Source organism: Homo sapiens, chromosome 3 (assembly GCF_000001405.40).
Source record: "Homo sapiens chromosome 3, GRCh38.p14 Primary Assembly".
Lineage (NCBI taxonomy): Eukaryota > Metazoa > Chordata > Mammalia > Primates > Hominidae > Homo > Homo sapiens.
This window is the reverse complement of record NC_000003.12, coordinates 9,494,245-9,512,930: the sequence shown is the minus strand read 5'-3', so window position 1 is coordinate 9,512,930 and position 18,686 is coordinate 9,494,245. Positions and strand designations below refer to the sequence as shown.

The following is an 18,686-nucleotide window of genomic DNA, read 5'->3' as shown; positions in this document are numbered from 1 at the left end:
GAGGCAGTCCAGAGCTGGTATGCTAGCCCCTGAAGTCATTAGAAACTTCCTGCTTTATGCTCACCACTCCTGGGGTATAGCCCCTATCTTTATTGTCAGAGATGCCTGCTGGATTCCTGACCATCACATCTGCATTCCAGGCAGCTGAATGGAGAGATGGATGAAGACAAATGGGACAAAGAGTACCCGGTAGCATCCTTATGAATCTGTTTATATAAAGTTGTTTCCTTAACGCCACAGAACACATCTACATGTATTTTGCTTAGTCATATGGTCACATCTGACTGCAAGAGAGGTTGGAAAATGCAGTCTTTATTCTCTACAGTCAAGGTCTTAGCTAAAAATTGAGGGTTCTAAATACTAAGGAAGAAGGGATGAATAGATATTGTGGCAAGATATTTGTCTCTGTCATGGTTAAATTGCAAAAAAATAAACTTACCTCCTTCCCCAGGCAGCCATTGTTAACATTTTTTGAATATCTAGAAAAAGTCCTTTGTTCAGGATTATTTTCCCACTCTGCCAAGAGTCACCATGACCTGCTCACACGCCACCCTTATGAAACTGCCGCGCCACTTCTCAGCTCCCATTTGATTCTCACAGAAGCTCTACGAAATGGGTTGGGCAAATGTCATGATCCTCATTTCACAGGGGAAGAAACTGAGGCCCAGAGGGGGAAACTGACTACCTAAAATTGCCATGTAGGCCGGCGCGGTGGCTCACGCCTGTAATCCCAGCACTGTGGGAGGCCAAGGCGGGTGGATCACGAGGTCAGGAGATCGAGACCATCCTGGCTAACACTTGAAACCCCGTCTCTACTAAAAATACAAATAATTAGCCAGGTGTGGTGGCGGGCGCCTGTAGTCCCAGCTATTCGGCAGGCTGAGGAAGGCGAATGGTGTGAACCTGGGAGGCGGAACTTGCGGTGAGCCGAGATTGCGCCACTGCACTCCAGCCTGGGCGACAGAGCCAGATTCCGTCTAAAAAAAAAAAAAAAAACAGTCGCCATGTAAAGGATGCAGCCAAGCCTCCTGTGGAGGCAGGACAAATTGGGGTGTGTTTCCCAAACACCAGACACATGCAAGATGCATCCGGCAGCCAGTGGCGAGCACATGGTTCCATTTCCAATTTCTTCCATAACTTTAAGGAGAAAGTTTCAGTTTGGTGCTAATGCATCTTTAACTCCTCTCACACTTACTAATAGGTCTTTTAAACAAAGAGAAATCGGCCCTCAGGCTCAGAGCACTAGGCAGGCAAAAGTATCTAGCTAGATTCTAAGAACATTGTTTTGATTTCATTATACCTACATTTATAGTGTTTTTCTATTTATGGCAAATGATCCTGGTTTCCTTCTCTTTGAAAGTAATTTAAGTTTACTTTTCAAGTAAATGCATCGAAGTTAAAATGTGAGTTTATTCAAAGAAAAACATGCAGTAAGGAACTATCTGTGCTTGAATACAGATTCCCCCACTTACAAGCTATGTGACATTGGATAAGACACCTGGTGCCTCTGAGCCTCAGTTTCCTCATTCGTATAATGAGGGTGGTATTTTTTCCCACCTCATGGCATTTTTTTTTTTTTTGAGATGGAGTCTAGCTCTGTCGCCCAGGCTGGAGTGCAGTGGCATGATCCCCGCTCACTGCAAGCTCCATCTCCTGGGTTCACACCATTCTCCTGCCTCAGCCTCCCGAGTAGCTGGGACTACAGGCACCCGCCACCACGCGTGGCTAATTTTTTGTATTTTTAGTAGAGATGGGTTTTCACTGTGTTAGACAAGATGGTCTCGAACTCCTGACCTCGTGATCCACCTGCCTCGGCCTCCCAAAGTCCTGGGATTACAAGTGTGAACCACCATGCCAGGCTGAATTTTTTAAATTAATAATAGGATTAAATGAGATAATGAAAGTCAGAAACTTAGCACTCTGGCACATAGTTAAGCACTCATCACTGCTTATTTATTTATTTATTTATTTATTTATTTATTTATTTATTTTTGAGATGGAGTCTTGCTCTGTCACCCAGGGTGGAGTGCAGTGGTGCAATCTTGGCTCACTGCAACCTCCGCCTCCTGGGTTCAAGGAATTCTCCTGCCTCAGCCTCCTGAGTAGCTGGGATTACAGGCATGTGCCACCAAGCCCAGCTAATTTTTGTATTTTTAGTAGAGATGGGGTTTCACCATGTTGACCAGGCTGGTCTCGAACTCCTGACCTCAGGTGATCCACTCGTCTTGGCCTCACAGAGTGCTGGGATTACAGGCATGAGCCATCGCGCCGGGCCACTCAACACTATTTTTAACAATAGTATCACAATATTAAAAATATTAACATTGTTCATCTTAATTTTGTCATAACACCTCCTGGCTGCTTGGAGCAGAGAAAGTCAGTAGGACCATGGGGTAGCTGGATAGAGATATCCCATCCTAGAGCCTCTGCCCCTACACCAGTGGTTTTCAGCCAGGGATAATCCCCTACATTAGGGCCTTTTTTTTTTTTTTTTGAAACCATGTCTTGCTCTGATGCCTAGGCTGTAGTGCAATGGTGCAATTTTGGCTCACAGCAGCCTTGATCTTCCGGCTCAAGCGATCCTCCCACCTCAGCCTCCTGAGGAGCTGGGACTACGAGTACATGCCACCATGTACTTGTGCTTTTCACCGTGTTTTCACCATGTTGCCCCAGGCTGGTCTTAAACTCCTGGCCTCAAGTGATCCTCCCACCTCGGCCTCCCAAAGTACTGGGACTACAGGCATGAGCCACCCATGCCCAACTGACATTTTTTAATCAGTATGACTGGGTTTGGTGGTGCCCCTGGCATCTGGTGGGTAGAGGCCACCGATGATGCTAAGTATCCCACAGTGCATTGGTTGGCCCCTCATGAAGAATCATCTAGCTTGAATGTCAAAAGCATTGAGGCTGAGAAAGCTTGTGCCATCCTGCACCCGTGTATGTGCCTAGCAGCAGCTGGGTCTTCAGCCAGCCCATTATTCCAAAAGAGACTCGAGCTTGGAGCACAAAAGCCTCAGCCTCAGTTTCTTCATCCAGCAAATGGGAACACTGAACCCTGCCTTATCTGCAGTCATTCCATCTCCTGATGGTTGGCCCTCTTGGGCACTTCCTTGGCCTAGGCTATCTCTACTGGTCCCTTTCTATCTTTCCCCTAGGTGCAAGGAACCCATCTAATTGGCTTTTCATTTGTTTGACTTCTGATATTTCCCATTCCCGGAGTGGCCTCTGGGGCCCCACAGCCACCATCTGAAACCCTGCAGCGTGAGTGCCCCAGCCATCTCTGAGTACCCCTGTTATTGTGGGTGGCAGCTGCTAGTCTTTTTCCTTTGAAGCACACCTTGACATGTGTAACTCTTCTATTTATGTGTTGACTTGTTGGCTGTATTCCTTCCCACACGCCTCTGCCCTGAAGACAGACACCCAGCCTGCTGTCCCCGGCACACTGCACAGTGCCTGGCACATAGTGGGCATGCAGGACTGTATTTGTGGGATCTATGAAGTGAGAGGCAAAAAGAGAGGATAAGGGGAGGGGATAGATATAGAGAAGCGAGAAAAGAAATAGAGAGGAGGAGGGAGTTGAATGAATGTTAAGTGCTGAAAGATCTAAATAAAGGGGAAAGCGGGAGGGGCGGGGGTCCAGACTGAGACTTGAGCACTAGGTAGACAAGCCAGAGAGAGAGAGAGGGGGGTGCGAAGAAAGATGAAAAGGGTGGGGAAGAGAAAGGAATGGAGACACAGAATGAAAGAGAGAGACAGAGGCAGAAAAAACGTGCAGGCGGAAAGCAAAAGGAAGAAAACCTCCCTGAGGCCTCAGTGCTCAGGTTGCGGAGGGGAGGAGGACCGCCCGCAGGAGCCAGCGCTGCGCAGCTGGGAGCGCCGGGATGCAGGCCCGGTTTCCACGGAGACGGGGATGCTCCTGGCGGGAGCCACCGACTACTGCAGGACCCGCGCCTCTGGCACCACGGGAATGGACGACCAGAGAGGTGGCAAAGGGACGGTGTGGGTTTGCCCCCTTCTTGGGCTCGTTCCCACTCCTGCCTCTTGCTGGAGATTTAGAGTCCGGGAATAGGGAGGCAGGAGCGCACCCGCCTGGGAAAGGGCTCTGGGGACTCCGAGGGCGGGGGAAGGACTGGGGCTGAGACCACTCCTCCCCCTGCCCCGTTGCCTTCCTTGGCGTTTGACCCTCCTTTCCTTTCAGATAGGGTCCTGGAGGGTCTGGCAAAGTGCAGCGCTATGTGGAGAGATGACGGCCAGGCCTTCTCCGCAGGCCCCTCTTCCTCCTCCTGCCCTGTTAATGCTGGAGCACCAGGGCTCAGTCCTAAGCCTTCTCTTCAGTTTCCACCATGTCCAGTCCTCGAGATTTAAATACCTAAAGTGCCCAGAGTCCCCAGATTTGCATGTCTAGCCCCGGTTTTCCCCTGAGCTCTGGCCTGTTCAAAGTTGCTAATTCTTTAACTCATCCAGCTTGTTCCCGCCGCAGGACTTTGCTTTTGCCATTCCCTTTGGCTGCAACTCTTTTCCCAGCCCTTAGGTGGTGAGTTCCACTGGAGTGGATAATTGACTTGGAGGAGGAGCATTGGTGGGGGGAGGAGCCCTGCTGCAGTGTCTGTTCGATCATAGTATTGTGGGGGGAGCCTGCATCTGGAAGAGGAGCACGTGTTGGGGAGAGGAGGAGGACTGGCTGGAATCTGGCAGTGCCACGATGAGAAGGAGGGCCCACTCCGTTGGAAGCCGGAAGAGGCTGGGGCCTGGGAGCATTCCCTCCATGGTAGATGTGGGAGGGAGCTGGCACAGCCAAGGGCCCCTTCCCACCCTGGGGACTAGATGGGCCAGGTGGACAGTGGGCAGAGCTGACCATCACCCCCACTTTACATTGCTGTCATCTAAAACCCAGGCTAAGCACCCTGTGGACCTGGTGCAGGCTCAAGGTCCCCACGGTTCCAAACAGAGCCCTCTGGAACCTTTGGGTCTCAGATACAGTAACCCAAATGTTGGCAGGACTGGCAATACGAGGGCCCCATCAAGCCGGTGATGCAGAGCTGGTGGAGGGGAAGACCCCATCTCTACAGTGGCCTGCTGAATCTGGGGGTTCTGACTGCCCTGTGACGCAGGAGGTGCCACTCTCCAAGCCAGTCACTCTTACCAGAGGAGTGCAATGTGCTGATCAGCTCAGGCTTGGGTCTCATCCACTAGGCTAAGTGCTGGCCAAGGGCCCACCTGGGCGGGGATTGGGACAGGTGGGTTGCTAAATCCAAAGCAGGTGGATGCTAGCTAGGGAACCATTGCCAAGGCCCTTCTGAGCCTGCCCCTTCTCTTCCTCTTTGCCTTTGTCCTCCTCACCTGAAACCAACTCTCCGAATTACTTTCTTATTTGTGTAATTATTACTTTTGGCATTATGACTGGTTTTGATAACAGCTAAGATTTACCCAGAACTTACTGTGCCAGGCACTTTACACTTTGCTGCCTTCCATAATCTTTACAACCACTTGAGGATACCATCATTATCCCCATTGTACAGATGAAGAAACTGAGGCTTAAAGATGAAGGAACTTGCTCAGTGTGGCATATCTAGAAAATAGCTGAGCCAGGATTTGAGACCCAGCCTTCTTAATCGCTTTGCTATTACGTACCTCTCTCCACACTACATTGCAAGCTCCATGCAGCTAAAATCCAAGTCTCCCCACCCCGCAGGCCTGGTCTAGTGCCTGGCATATGGTAGGCCCTGGATAAATGCTACCTGAGTGCCTGGCACCGTGCTAAGTGTTTTGCACGCATTACTTCATTTAATCCTCCTAATCGCCCTTGAGGTAAGTACAATGGTATTGACTGAAACAGGCCTGTTCAGGTTCAGCGGCATCTGCCAAGGTCATACAGCCAAGTTAGGGGAAGAACTAGGCTAAGTCCTATCATTGGCACTCCATAGTCTGTGCTCTTAGCAAAGTGCTCAACTGCATGAATGAAAGTATATTCTAGCATCGTGAATAAAAGGAAAATGGTGCCCAATAAACATTTGATGGGTGAAGGACAAGAATTTAAAAAATAACAATGAGGGCGGGTGTGGTGGCTCACTCCTATAATCCCAACACTTTGGGAGGCTGAGGTGGGCAGATCACTTGAGGTTAGGAGTTCGAGACCAGCCTGGCCAACATGGTGAAACCTCATCTCTACTAAAAATACAAAAATGAGCCGGACATGGTGGGAGGCACCTGTAGTCTCAGCTACTCAGGAGGCTGAGGCAGGAGAATTGCTTGAGCCCGGGAGGTGGAGGTTACAGTGAGCCGAGATCACGCCATTGCACTCCACCCTGGGCAACAGAGCGAGACTCCGTCTCAAACAACAACAACGACAACAATAATAATAATAATGAGGATGGGAGAGATGGGAGAGGGAGTTGGTCCCGATGCTAGAGGAAGTTGAAGGAGGTGGCTGTGGGTGGCTATGTTCTCATATTCCCAGAATGCTTCCTGGAGGAGGAGTTGATCTCATGGGGAAGGGAGAGGGCATTGCGGGTTCCAGAAAGTTTCTGCTACCCATCGTAGACCTCTTTCTCTCTCTCTTTTCCCTGCCCCTGCCCTCTCTTTCTCCCTCTGTGGAAGTGGGTAACAAGCACGTGGTTGGGTTGATGTGCCCTCAATAGGGTGGGGCCCAGACTGCGGACACTAGCGAGTAATGGTCTTTTCTCTTCCTTCCTGACCGTGGTGGTGGGCCCGGTGCTCTGCCCCTCAGCTCTGTGCCTCGTCCTGGGCTGCATGATCTTTCCTGATGGCTGGGATGCCGAGACCATCCGGGACATGTGTGGGGCCAAGACGGGGAAGTACTCCCTGGGGGACTGTTCAGTGCGCTGGGCATACATCCTGGCCATCATCGGCATCCTCAACGCCCTCATCCTCTCCTTCCTCGCCTTCGTGCTGGGCAACCGGCAAACAGACCTGCTGCAGGAGGAGCTCAAGCCGGAGAACAAAGGCGAGTGTGCTGTGGGCTGGGGGGCAGCGGCGGGAGCCAGGCCTGGTCCTGGGAGGCAGGATAATTTCAAATAAAAGGAGTAAGAGGGTTGCATGAATTGGAAACCCTGGCTGGGCGTGGTGGCTCACGCCTATAATCCCAGCACTTTGGGAAGCCAAGGCAGGTAGATCGCTTGAGCCCAGGAGTTCAAGAGTAGCCTGGTCAACATGGTGAAATCCCCTCCCTAAAAAAATACAAAAACTGGGCTGGGCACGGTGGCTCACGCCTGTAATCCCAGCACTTTGGGAGGCCGAGGCGGGTGGATCCTGAGGTCAGAAGATCCAGACCATCCTGGCTAACACGGTGAAACCCTGTCTCTACTAAAAATACAAAAAAATTAGCCGGACTTGGGAGGCTGAGGCAGGAGAATGGCATGAACCCGGGAGGTGGAGCTTGCAGTGAGCTGAGATTGCGCCACTGCACTCCAGCCTGGGAGACAGCGAGACTCTGTCTCAAAAACAAAAAAACAAAAAAACAAAAAAAAACAAAAACTAGCTGGATGTGGTGGCAAGTGCCTGTGGTCCCAGCTACTCAGGAGGCTGAGGTGGGAGGATCACCTGAGCCTGAGAAGGTTGAGGCTGCAGTGAGCTGTGATTGTGCCACTGCACTCCAGCCTGGACTACAGAGTGAGAGCCTATCTCAAAAAAAAAAAAGAAAGAAAAGAAAAGAAAAAAAGAAACCTGCCTGACAGTACAACCACCTTTTAAATGATTTGATGTTCTGCCTCAGATCTGATCATTTGCCTGTGACCCAGCAAACCCACCTCGGGTACAAACCCATGAGAAGCGTTCAAGGGCGCTGGTGGCTGCAGCTTCACTGTAGCAAACAGCTATAAACAGCCCAATGGCCATGGACAGGAGGCCGGATAAATACACGTGACATGTTCACATCACAGAGCAGCTCACAGCTGTGAAAATGTCACACTTCAGTTATATGTACCACAGTGGATGTATCTCAGTAATATAATGTTGAGAGAGGGGGAAAAAAAAAAACAAGTTCCAGAAGATGACAGAGTGATATATTTATTGAGCTCGAAAGTAAGCAAAACTAAGCAATGTATTGTTTAAACACACATGTATTTGTGGCAGTATTTTTTTTTTTTTGAGATGGAGTCTCACTCAGTCACCCAGGCTGGAGTGCAGTGGCGCGATCTCCACTCACTGCAAGCTCCACCTCCCGGGTTCACACCATTCTACTGCCTCAGCCTCCTGAGTAGCTAGGACTACAGGCACCCGCCACCACGCCCGGCTAAGTTTTTGTATTTTTAGTGGAGATGGGGTTTCACCGTGTTAGCCAGGATGGTCTCGATCTTCTGACCTCGTGATCCGCCTGCCTTGGCCTCCCAAAGTGCTGGGATTACAGGTGTGAGCCACCGTGCCCAGCTGTGGCAGTATATTTTTTTAAAAAGCAAAGAAATAATAAATATGAAAGGTAGGATGATGGTCATCTGTGGTTATGATGGAAGGGGAGGAAGTCAAGTATATGAGCTGGAGCGTGGAGGTATATGCAAATTATGGGTAGCGTTAGAGTCCTTTTTTTTTTTTTTCCTTGAGACAGTGTCTTGCTCAGTTGCCCAGGGTGGAGTGCAGTGGCACGGTCTCGGCTCACTGCAGCCTCCAGCTCCTGGGTTCAAGTAATCCTCGTGCCTCAGCCTCTTGCTCTTGAGTACCTGGGATTACAGGCATGTTGCCACCACACCCAGCTAACTGTTGTATTCTTAGTAGAGATGGGGTTTCACCATGTTGGCCAGGCTGGTCTCAAACTCCTGGCCTCAAGTGATCTGCCTGCCTCAGCTTCCCAAAGTGTTGGGATTACAGGCATGAGCCAGCACACCCGGCTGAGTTATAGTTATTGAATGGTGAGCTCACCAGTGTTGATTATTGTATTTTTTTAAGAGATTGGGGGAGGGGGCCTCACTCTGCTGCTCAGGCTGGAGTGCAGTGGTGCAATCATAGCTCACTGCAGCCTCAAACTCCTGGGCTTAAGCGATTCTCCTGCCTCAGCCTCCTGAGTGGCTGGGACTACAGGCATGCGCCACCACGCCTGACTAATTTTTGTATTTTTTGTAGAGACGAGGTTTCCCCATGTTGCCCAGGCTGGTCTTGAACTCCTGGCTTCAAGCAATCCTTCCGCCTTGGCCTCCCAAAGTGCTGAGATTACAGGTGTGAGCCACCTTACCTGGCACATTGTATGCTTTATAATTAGTGTATTGCATATAAACTTTCATATATATCAAGTAGCATTAAAATACAATAAAGAAAAAAGGCCAGGTTCAGAGAACTCCAGAGCTCCAGTAATTTGCCCAAAGTCACTTAAGTGGTGAAGGCAGAATCTGAACCCAGGTCCAAGTCCAAAGTCCAAGCTCTTCCCCCCTGTCTCAACCTGGTGAAGCCAGAGATTTCCTGCACGGCTTTGGGAGCTCTCCTGGGATGCTGATCTGCTAACCTGTACTCAGAGGCAGGTTCTAAATACCTGATGCAGTCCCTCAGACCCCGGGATTACTGTGGTTTTGGTGTGAAGTCAAGGCCTGCCCTCTGGCGGCAGCTTTCAGAAGTGCAAGACAGACTGAGATCTGGCCTTTCTCAAGAAGGGGTGTGGGGATGTGACTGATGTGAAGTGGGCCCCCTCGGTGTCCTTCTCCTCCCTTCCCAAAGCCCCCTAACAACTCAGTGTTAAAAATCAATGTAAAGGAGCCCCAGTTTTCCTCCCTTCAGTGTCCAGGGAGTCTCCGTCCCTCACTGGGAGTTCAAGATGAGTGAGCCTCCCACTTCAGTTTTAACCCAAAGACCTCCGAGCCAAAAGCCATGGCGCGCACCTGTGGTCCCAGCTACAGGCTGAGGCAGGAGGATCGCTTGAGCCCACACGTTCAAGACCAGTCTGGGCGATGTAACAAAACCCAGTTTCTATTAAAAAGAAAGAAATATATATATATATTTAAAGAAGACCTCTGGAACCAAAGAAAAAATAGATAAATAAATTGCTTCCATTTCCAGCATATTCTATGACCAAACACTGCCAAGTCCTTGGCTGTCATTATTTGTCTCTTTTTGACCCTTCGGAATTACCCTGTGAGGTAGGCTATGATCCTTATTTTGCAGATGAGAAAATCGGGGCTCAGAGAGGTTAAATGGCTTGCTCAAGGCCATCCTGCTGGTCAGGTGAGGCTAGGATTTCAGCGCTTGTGCAGTCTGCCCCTCTGCCCCTCTGACCTTTTTTTTTTTTTTGAGATGGAGTTTCACACTTTTTGCCTAGGCTGGAGTGCAGTGGTGCAATTTTGGCTCACTGCAATCTCTGCCTCCTGGGTTCAAGCGATTCTCCTGCCTCAGCCTCCCAAGTAGCTGGAATTACAGGCATGCACCACCATGCCCGGCTAATTTTTTGTATTTTTGGTAAAGACAGGGTTGTGCCATGTTGATCAGGCTGGTCTTGAACTCCTGACCTCAAGTGATCCACCCGCCTCAGCCTCCCAAAGTGCTGGGATTACAGGCGTCAGCCACCGCGCCCGGCCCCTCTGCCCACTTGTGCCCTGGGGAATGTGCAAGGAAAGCCTGAATGCCCAGGCAGCCTCTGACTTTCTCTAATTCTCTCTCCTTCTCTCTCTCTCTCTCTCTCTTAGATTTTGTGGGCTCTACAGTAAGCTCCGTGTTGCGGCCCGGGGGTGATGTCTCTGGATGGGGAGTCCTTCCCTGCCCCGTGGCTCACTCACAGGGACCCTGAAAGGCCAGGATCACAGCCCAGTAATTGGCCTGACCTCAGCTTGTCCTGCCTTCTGCCCTCTCGTCACTCCATTCAAGCTCTGAGGGAAGACCCTGATCTCAGACTTACTTCTCACCGACTACCCTGCAAGCTCCAGGCTTTGAGGAGAGGAAAGCCTGGATGTGGCCTGGGGGAGAGGAGAGGCCCTCCAAACCTTGGGAGGGTCTAATTCTTGCTCCTCCCTCAATTTGACCTAAGGGAGCCTGCATCTGCGTAGGCCCTTGGGCTTCTCCTCTCCTCTCTAGACTGGCCTGGAGGTCCCTGCAGATCCCCAGGGAGAGCGGAGCTGTAGTTCCAGCTCCCCAGGCCCCCTCAGTCTGGAGGGCTGCCGCCTGGCTGTATCCGCACCTCTTCTGGTCCCTGCCTCTTCAAGAAATTTATTCTAGATACTGCTCCAGGGTGGGCTGGACTCTTTCCTACTTTTTTTTTTTTTCTTTTTTGGCTGATGTTGGTTCCACCACATCTGCCACAAAGCTCCAGGTGCCACCAGTCTCCCCTGGGACCTCCTCTGCTCCATTCCGGCCTGCTCCCAGCTCACCCTGAGGGAGAGCTGCACCGAGGGATGCACAGGGCCCTGCTGTCAGCTGCAGACCGGGGCCCTGATCAGCCCAGAGTCAGAAAAGACTTTCAGGCTCTGGAGGTAGCGGGAGGGGGTACGTGGCCTCGGCAGTTGGAGCTTAGAAGCTGCTCAGCCCGGGCTGGCCTGGCCTCCTCTTCCTCTCTGCTGGAACATCTCACTGATGACTGAGCCCTTGACCTTGGCCTCTTTTGCCCAGGCCTCCTCTCTGCTGGGATGTCTCACCAATGACTGGACCCTTGACCCTGGCCTGTTTTGTACAGCACAGACTTCTTGGCCCTGTTGTCAGGGTTGGGGGTGTGGAGGGGACCCCAGAGGTGGGGAGTTGGGGGATGCATTACCCCTTCTGCCCCTTTTCATGCCCTCCATACCCCAGGCGTCTACCAAGGGCAGAGACTGTCTTGTCTCTTTGATACTTTTCTGCATAACTTGAACTTGCAGGTCATCTCTGAACAGGGTACCCCTGTCCCCCTTCCTAAGCCTTGTTACCCTGTCCCAGCCTCTTCCTCCTCCTGGCCCACCTCTCGCCTTGCGATATGCCCAGGGTCTGCACCTATGGGCAGTGCTTGGAGCCGAGGCATGAGTGTATGTGTATGTGGGTGAAATGTGTGTGCGTGTGTGTGCGCGTGTGAGCGTGTGTGTGTGTGTGTGTGTTGGGGGACAGGTGAGAAGTTTCTCCCCCCTCCACCCACTGTGGGGGCGTCTCCCTTCCCCTTGGCAGGGAGCAGGTGAGGGAGACTCCTGGTATTTTTTGAACACCCGTCATTCCCCTGTGGGTCTGGCGGCAGAGCCATCTCTCCCGGGGAGCCTCCCTGCCCTGGGGCCTGGACAGCTCCCTCAGCACTAGTTGCTGGTGCAGACCGGCTTCGTCCAGCGCCCCCTCCTGGCGGCCTGGACCTGCAGGGAAGGGGCGGTGCCCTGCAGGATGCCAGGGGAAGCCGCCTCGGGCCTCGGCGGAGGGGAGAGGGTCGCTTGAGCGCCATGTGTTTGCCAACCTTGTGTTCATTTCCACAGGACTTGGACCTGAGAGTTAGGGTTTCCAAGAAAGACCCTAGAAGTCCCCTGCCTGTCTCCCCACTCTGGACCCTAGCCGGAATCAGATGTTGGGACCTAGTGGGTTCCTGCCACCTGGAACTTACCAAGTCCCGACTTCACTCCTCCACTTACTCCTCCCGGGCAAAGCCTCCCCGCAGTGCTCTGGTCCCAGCGCTGGGCTCCCCTTCCCCGCCGGCGCCTTCCCGGACAGTCCAGTCGGCCTGGGGTAGGGGCGCTGCGGGACAGAGGGTCCGAGTTAAATGCGGGAGGATGCGGGAGCCCCGTGGGAGGGAGTTGGGGTAGGAGGGAGTTCCTCAAAGATGCAAACCAAGCCCAGCGTTGGAGGGGGAGAGCAGAGTTAGGAGAGAGTGAGGGGAGGGGCGCAGCAAGCGACTGGGAATGGGAGAAGACACTGGGGTGAGGAGAAGAGGGGTGCAGAGACAGGGAGATGAGAGATGATTGGAGAAGGAGCGAGGGGGACGCACAGGCACAGAGAAACAGCGCGAGGAGGAGAGATCGAGAGAGACGGGGCAGAGGTGGAGAGAGATGAGAGACCAGCTGAGAGGCTGCCCGAGAGCTTGGGGTGGGGGAGGGGAAATGGATGAAAAGGCGGAAAAAGGACTCGGGAGCGGGGAAGAGGTAAATGGAGATGTGGGTTGGGGGCAAGAATGGGATGCAGAGGAAGGAGAGGAGGATGAAGGAGCCAGGATGCGGGGCAGTGGGGAGGGGGTTGCTATCTGGGCACTGGGTGAGGGGAGAGCTTGTTCCCCCAAGGACGCCTGCCACCAGGTGTCCTTGCCACACCTTGTTCCCCAAGGACACCCACCAAACCTGTGCCCTGGTGCGGGGGATAGAACTGACCTTTCAGAGGCTGGAGGCCCGGGGCACAGGCAGCCAAGGCCGCATCCTTTTGGGAAGAACTGGAGTGAAGGAAGCCACTTCAGAGGACGTAGTGGGTCCAGCTGACTTAGGAGTGGGTCAGCGCCGGGTGGAGAGGAGGGAGGCTAGTTCCCTGGTGGGGTAGCCTGGCAACATTCCCATTCCACCGCACCTGGCCAGCTGCCATCTTGGCAGAGCCAGGGGGAGATGCACCAGGGAGTTTGGAGTCAGGAAGGCAGAGTTGTGTGGGCTGAAGTCTGCGGGAACCCCAGGGTGACACAGGCAAGGGGTAGAAGTCAGAGTGGGGACCAAACCATAGACTGGGGCCCTGGGTTCTGCAGAGGTGTGGATGGGGCAGGTGGCAGGTGCTCCAGTGGGGGCCCCAGGTGAGGCCCTGATGGCCCTCCTGGGGCAATAAAGACATCATGGGAAGGGGGCTTTGTGGTTTGCCTCTGCTCTCGTCGGGCGATCTGGCTTTAGCCTTCAGGAGGAGGTAAGCAGAGGAGATCAGTGCCTGTTTCTGACCCCAGGAGGGCCTTGTTGGGCTCCAACCTAGAGCCTTCCGGCTTCAGGTCCCAAGAGAAGTCCCCCCCTAACTGTGACCCCCCTAACTGTGATCAGGGGTCTGCCATTGCCCGCTTTTCTCTGCCTGATCTGGGGACTCAGGAGAGGCCACGGCAGCCACAGCCTAGGGGTGGTTCAGTCCCTGGCCCACAGTCTGGTCAGTTGAGTCCTTCTGGGAACCGGGGCTATGAAAACTTTCGTCTTTGGGGACCGGTACCCATGAAGGAAAACTTTCCTGAGGGGGTGAGGACCAAAGAATCAAGATCCTTTTCAGGCCTGATAGCCAAGATGATGAGAACTTTTAGATAAGGCTGTGGGGAGAGTCCCTGGCCTTTTGAGCATCCTGCTTGGGCACACGGGGAATAACCTTTCTCCAGCTTCCAGTGTGAACTGAGAAAGAGAAAGGGAAACCCTGTCTTTGGAGAAGCTGGGATGTTCCCAGCACCAGAAACTTCTGCAGGCCCCTGCCTGGCCCACGGCTAACCTTTGGGTGGGACTGGAGTTTCCTGAACAGGGAACAAGGGAGCCTTCCGCAGAGCTCTGATGGGCAGGCCTCCGAGGGCCTGTGCTGTGTGCTGTTAGGATAGCTTGGTGTTGTCTATACCCCATTAGTAAGTTTTGTCTGAGTGTGTCCTCGCTGTTCATTGTCTAATTTGGTAACATTTATTTTGGTCCTGACCCCTTCTGCTGCTGCTGGGTTTAAGCTTCAGTGCAGGTGGAATGACATTCAAATAAAGAAACACTTTCTATCACCCACGCTGGCTGCCACTTCTCTGAGTCACTGGGATCAAGAGGGGTAAGATTCCAACCCTATGGATCAGGTTTGTCTGGTATTAACAGAACCCTACTACTGTGGCTTAACAAGATAGTTTATTTTACCATCACATTAAAAAAAAAAAAAAAAAAAAAAAAAGCCTGGAGGTGGGTAGATCACGGCTGATATGGCTCTCAGTGTTATCCAGAACCCAGGCTCCTATCTTTCTGCACTGCCATTTTCAATCCTGGCTACATCCTCAAGAACACCTCATGGCCCAACGTGGGCTGCTGGAGCTCCAGTCACCTGGTCCACATTTCATTTGAAGACTTCTGGAAATTCCATAGGACTGTGTCACTTGGGCCACATAACAGTAAAGGAGGCTGAAAAAGTGTGGTCTGTTATCTCGGCGCATTGCCAGCCCAAATAAAACTGGGGTTCTTGGCCGGGCAAGGTGGCTCATGCCTGTAATCCCAGCATTTTCAGAGGCTGAGGTGGGTGGATCACCTGAGGTCAGGAGTTTGAGACCAGCCTGGTCAACATGGCAAAACCCTGTCTCTACTAAAAATACAAAAATTAGCCAGGCATGGTGGTGCGTGCCTGTAATCCCAGATACTCAGGAGGCTGAGGCAGGAGAATTGCTTGAACCCAGGAGGCGGAGGTCGCAGGGAGGTGGGATGGCGCCATTGCACTCCAGCCTGGGCAACAGAGCAAGACTCCGTCTCAAAAAAAAAAAAAAATAGGGTTCTGATACAAAGGAGAAAGGAGTGAATAGAGAGAGGGATACAGTAATCTCTGCACACCTCTGACAGCACAGGCACGACTTGTCCAAGTCCATACAGGCAGAAAAGAGTAGAGCCTCATCTGCTCTAGCCAGAGTGCTCAGTCCAGTCACTTTGCCTCTCTCTAAAGCCCCATTGAATAAATAGAGAAAACAATAGTGACTCCCCCAAGGGAAGCTGTAAGCAACATACCAGGGAATATATGCACTTTGCTCTGCAGGGTATCTGGCACGCTGTAATGTGCGCAGTACCAGGTAGCTACATTGAAGACTTGGAAATGGAGTCCTCTTCCAACACATTTTAAGCACTTAGTGTATGCTAAGCACTTAAGCTAGAAAAAAAATGAGCAAAACAGAGATGCTGTCTTAAGCATAATTCTGGTTGGGGAGATGAACATGTGAAAATAACGCATGACTTGCCACATGCAGGGTATTGTGGGTATCCTAGGCAGGAATACTTTAAATGGCTTTTGGTGACGTGGGCAGCGTAGGAGGAGGTCTTGCTGTAGGATGAGAAGTTAGGCAGGAGGGGTCAGGAAGGTCAAAGAGAAGGCAGCTTGAGGAAAAAGACTGAGGTAGGCAGCAGAACTGTGTATGGAGGACGAAAAGCAACTTAGTTTGAAATGTGAAGTACGAGGCAGGGAGGAGTCAGAGATGAGTCTAGAGAGACAGGCGAGGGCCAGACCATGAGAAAGCTTGGGGGCCATGGACAGGAGTTTGGACTTAAGAGCAATGGGGAACCACTGAAGGATTTGAAGCAGAAGGAAAAATGACTCAATTTGCATTTTAGAAAGAGCACTCTGGTGGTAGCATTAGGGGGCTGGATTAGGGGTAGACTGTTAGCCCATTTCTGCATTGTTATAAAGCCATACCTGAGACTGCATCATTTGTTTTATTTATTTATTTTGAGATGGAGTCTCCCTCTGTTGCCCAGGCTGCAGTGCAGTGGCACAATCTCAGCTCACTGCAACCTCAGCCTCCCTGATTCAAGTGATTCTCCTGCCTCAGCCTCCTGAGTAGCTGAGATTACAGGTGTGCACCACCACACCCGGCTAATTTTTGTATTTTTAGTAGACATGGGATTTCACCATGTTGGCCAGGCTGGTCTCAAACTCCGGGTCTCAAGTGATCCACCCGCCTCAGCCTCCCAAAGTGCTGGGATTGCAGGCATAAGCCACTGCACCTGGCCTGCATAATTTATTTTTATTTTTTTGAGACAGGGTCTTGCTCTGTCACCCAGGCTGGAGTGCAGTGGTGAGATCACAGTTCACTGTAGCCTCAACTCCCAGGCTCAAGCAATCCTCCCACCTCATTCTCCCAGGTAGCTGGGACCATAGGCACCACCATGCCTGGCTATCTCTTTTTTTTTTTGAGATGGAGTCTCACTCTGTTGCCAGGCTGGAGTGCAGTGGCATGATCTCAGCTCACTGCAACCTTTGTCTCCCGGGTTCATGCAATTCTCCTGTCTCAGCCTCCCAAGTAGCTGAGACTACACACGTGCACCACCACGCCCAGCTAATTTTTGTATTTTTAGTAGAGATGGGGTTTCACCATGTTGGCCAAGATGGTCTCGATCTCTTGACCTCGTGATCCACCCACCTTGGCCTCCCAAAGTGCTGGGATTATAGGCGTGAGCCACTGCTCCCGGCCTTATTATTATAATTTTTTATAGAAACGGGGTCTTGTTATGTTACCCAGGCTGGTCTCAAACTCCTGGGCTCAAGCAATCTTCCTGTCTCAGTCTCCCAAAGTGCTGGGATTGCAGGCATGAGCCACTGCACCTGGCCAAACTGGGCAATTTATAAAGAAAAGAGATTTATTTTGGCGCATGGCTCTGCAAACTGTACAGGTAGCATGTTGCTGGCATTTGCTTCTAGTGAGGCTTCAGGAAGCTTACAATCATGGTGCAAGGTTAGGGGAAGCCAGCGTGTCACACGGCAAGGGCAGGAGCAAGACAGAGAGAAGAGGGCAGTCCCAGGCTCTTAAACAACCAGATCTCATGTGTGTGAATTAACTGTGCGAGAACTCACCCATCACCAAGGGGATGACACTAAACCATTCATGAGGGACCCACCCCCATGATCCACTCACCTCCCACCAGGCCCCACCGCCAACACTGGGGATGACATTTCAACATGAGGTTTGGTGGGGACAAACAGCGAAACCATATCAGAGACCACTTCAGTAAAAGAGAAACCAGAAGCCTGGCCTGAAACAAGGAGGTCGCAGTGGGTCTAAGAGAAGTAAGAAGTTCCATCTTCAGGAAGTAGAAGGGAACCAACTGACTATGGGAATAACACACAGGCTGGCAAAAAGAGGGTTAAAGTTTTTGCTTGGGGACTAGAAAGATCTGCCAGTATAGCAGGGGAGCAAGATGATCAGTTCCGTTTGAGATGTGCTAAGTTTAAGATGCATGTGAGATGCCTTGGTGGAGTTGTCCAGCAGTCAGCTGACATATGGATTTGGGAGCTCAAGAGAAAAATCTGGGTCAGAAGCATCGGTATCCAGGTAGTGGTGGAAACTGGAAGCATAGAGGAGCCTGCTCTGGGCGACTGTGTGGTGTGGAGAGAGCATGGAGCTCTGGAATGCTGGAGAGCACTGCAGGATAAAGCACTGTCAGAGGAACAGATGTCCACAAAGGAGAGGGGTCAGGAGGAGAATCATGAGTGTGGCTTTATAGAAACCAAGGATGTAGAGTTTAAGGGGAAAGTCAGCTGGTCAAGTCGAGCACAGAGGTCCTGTATAAGAGACTGAAAAATGTGTCCATTGGATTTGGGGACAAGGAGGCCACCCCTGAAACTTGATAAGAGCATGTTCAGGAGTGTGGGGAGAGCCAAACTGAGGTCTGTTCAGGGAGAGAGTGGGAGGCGACGGGTTGAAGATTACTATTTAGAGAAGTGTGGATAAGAAGGGGAAATGAGTGACTGGAATTCATTCAGGCAGGAGCAATTACACTCCGTGAACCAGCAGTGGGCAAGGAACAGCATTACCTGGAGCGGGTGTGGAACCTCTCTTTACTTATGTGGCATTCCCAATGCTCACTGGTCATGGCAAGTAAGAGGATAATGATAAAGAAGAGAGGATGACTAAAGGAACAGGGTCTCCAGGGAGGTGAACGTAAGGCAGCCCAGGGTATGGAAGTTGGTCTTGAAGATAAAAGAGATATCCTATTCAGAAACACTGGAGAAGAGGTGAGGGACTGAAAAGACGTACGTCTCTTTCGGGGTGGAGGGCAGGGCAAAAGTTCAGTGCGTTCTTGCCCGATAGCATCCATCTTCTCAGTGAAGCAGGAAACAAGGTTGTTTACTGAAAGAGAAAAGGGGGCTCGGCTGGGCGC

General features: G+C 51.7%; 1 protein-coding gene across 1 annotated transcript in view, besides 2 other annotated features; it reads left to right on the top strand.

Annotated features, from left to right (window-relative positions):
- Positions 1 to 14,570, top strand: part of LHFPL4 (LHFPL tetraspan subfamily member 4) — a 55,462-nt gene extending 40,892 nt beyond the window's left edge. Inside the window, exons 3-4 of the mRNA NM_198560.3 lie at positions 6,728 to 6,964; positions 10,620 to 14,570. Of these exons, the coding sequence (NP_940962.1) occupies positions 6,728 to 6,964; positions 10,620 to 10,720 (338 nt within the window). The 3' untranslated portion in view covers positions 10,721 to 14,570. The remainder of the gene's footprint in view (positions 1 to 6,727; positions 6,965 to 10,619) is intronic.
- Positions 9,392 to 9,686: a silencer, noted in NCBI's record as "tiled region #15302; HepG2 Repressive DNase unmatched - State 12:CtcfO". NCBI's record gives its function as "represses a minimal TATA promoter and a strong SV40 promoter by Sharpr-MPRA in HepG2 cells {active_cell/tissue: HepG2}" and the evidence as "EXISTENCE:reporter gene assay evidence [ECO:0000049][PMID:27701403]".
- Positions 10,880 to 11,605: an enhancer, noted in NCBI's record as "H3K4me1 hESC enhancer chr3:9543010-9543735 (GRCh37/hg19 assembly coordinates)". NCBI's record gives its function as "activates a minimal SCP1, AML or CMV promoter by ChIP-STARR-seq in primed H9 embryonic stem cells {active_cell/tissue: H9 hESC(primed)}" and the evidence as "EXISTENCE:reporter gene assay evidence [ECO:0000049][PMID:30033119]".
- Positions 14,571 to 18,686: the final 4,116 nt, after the last annotated feature.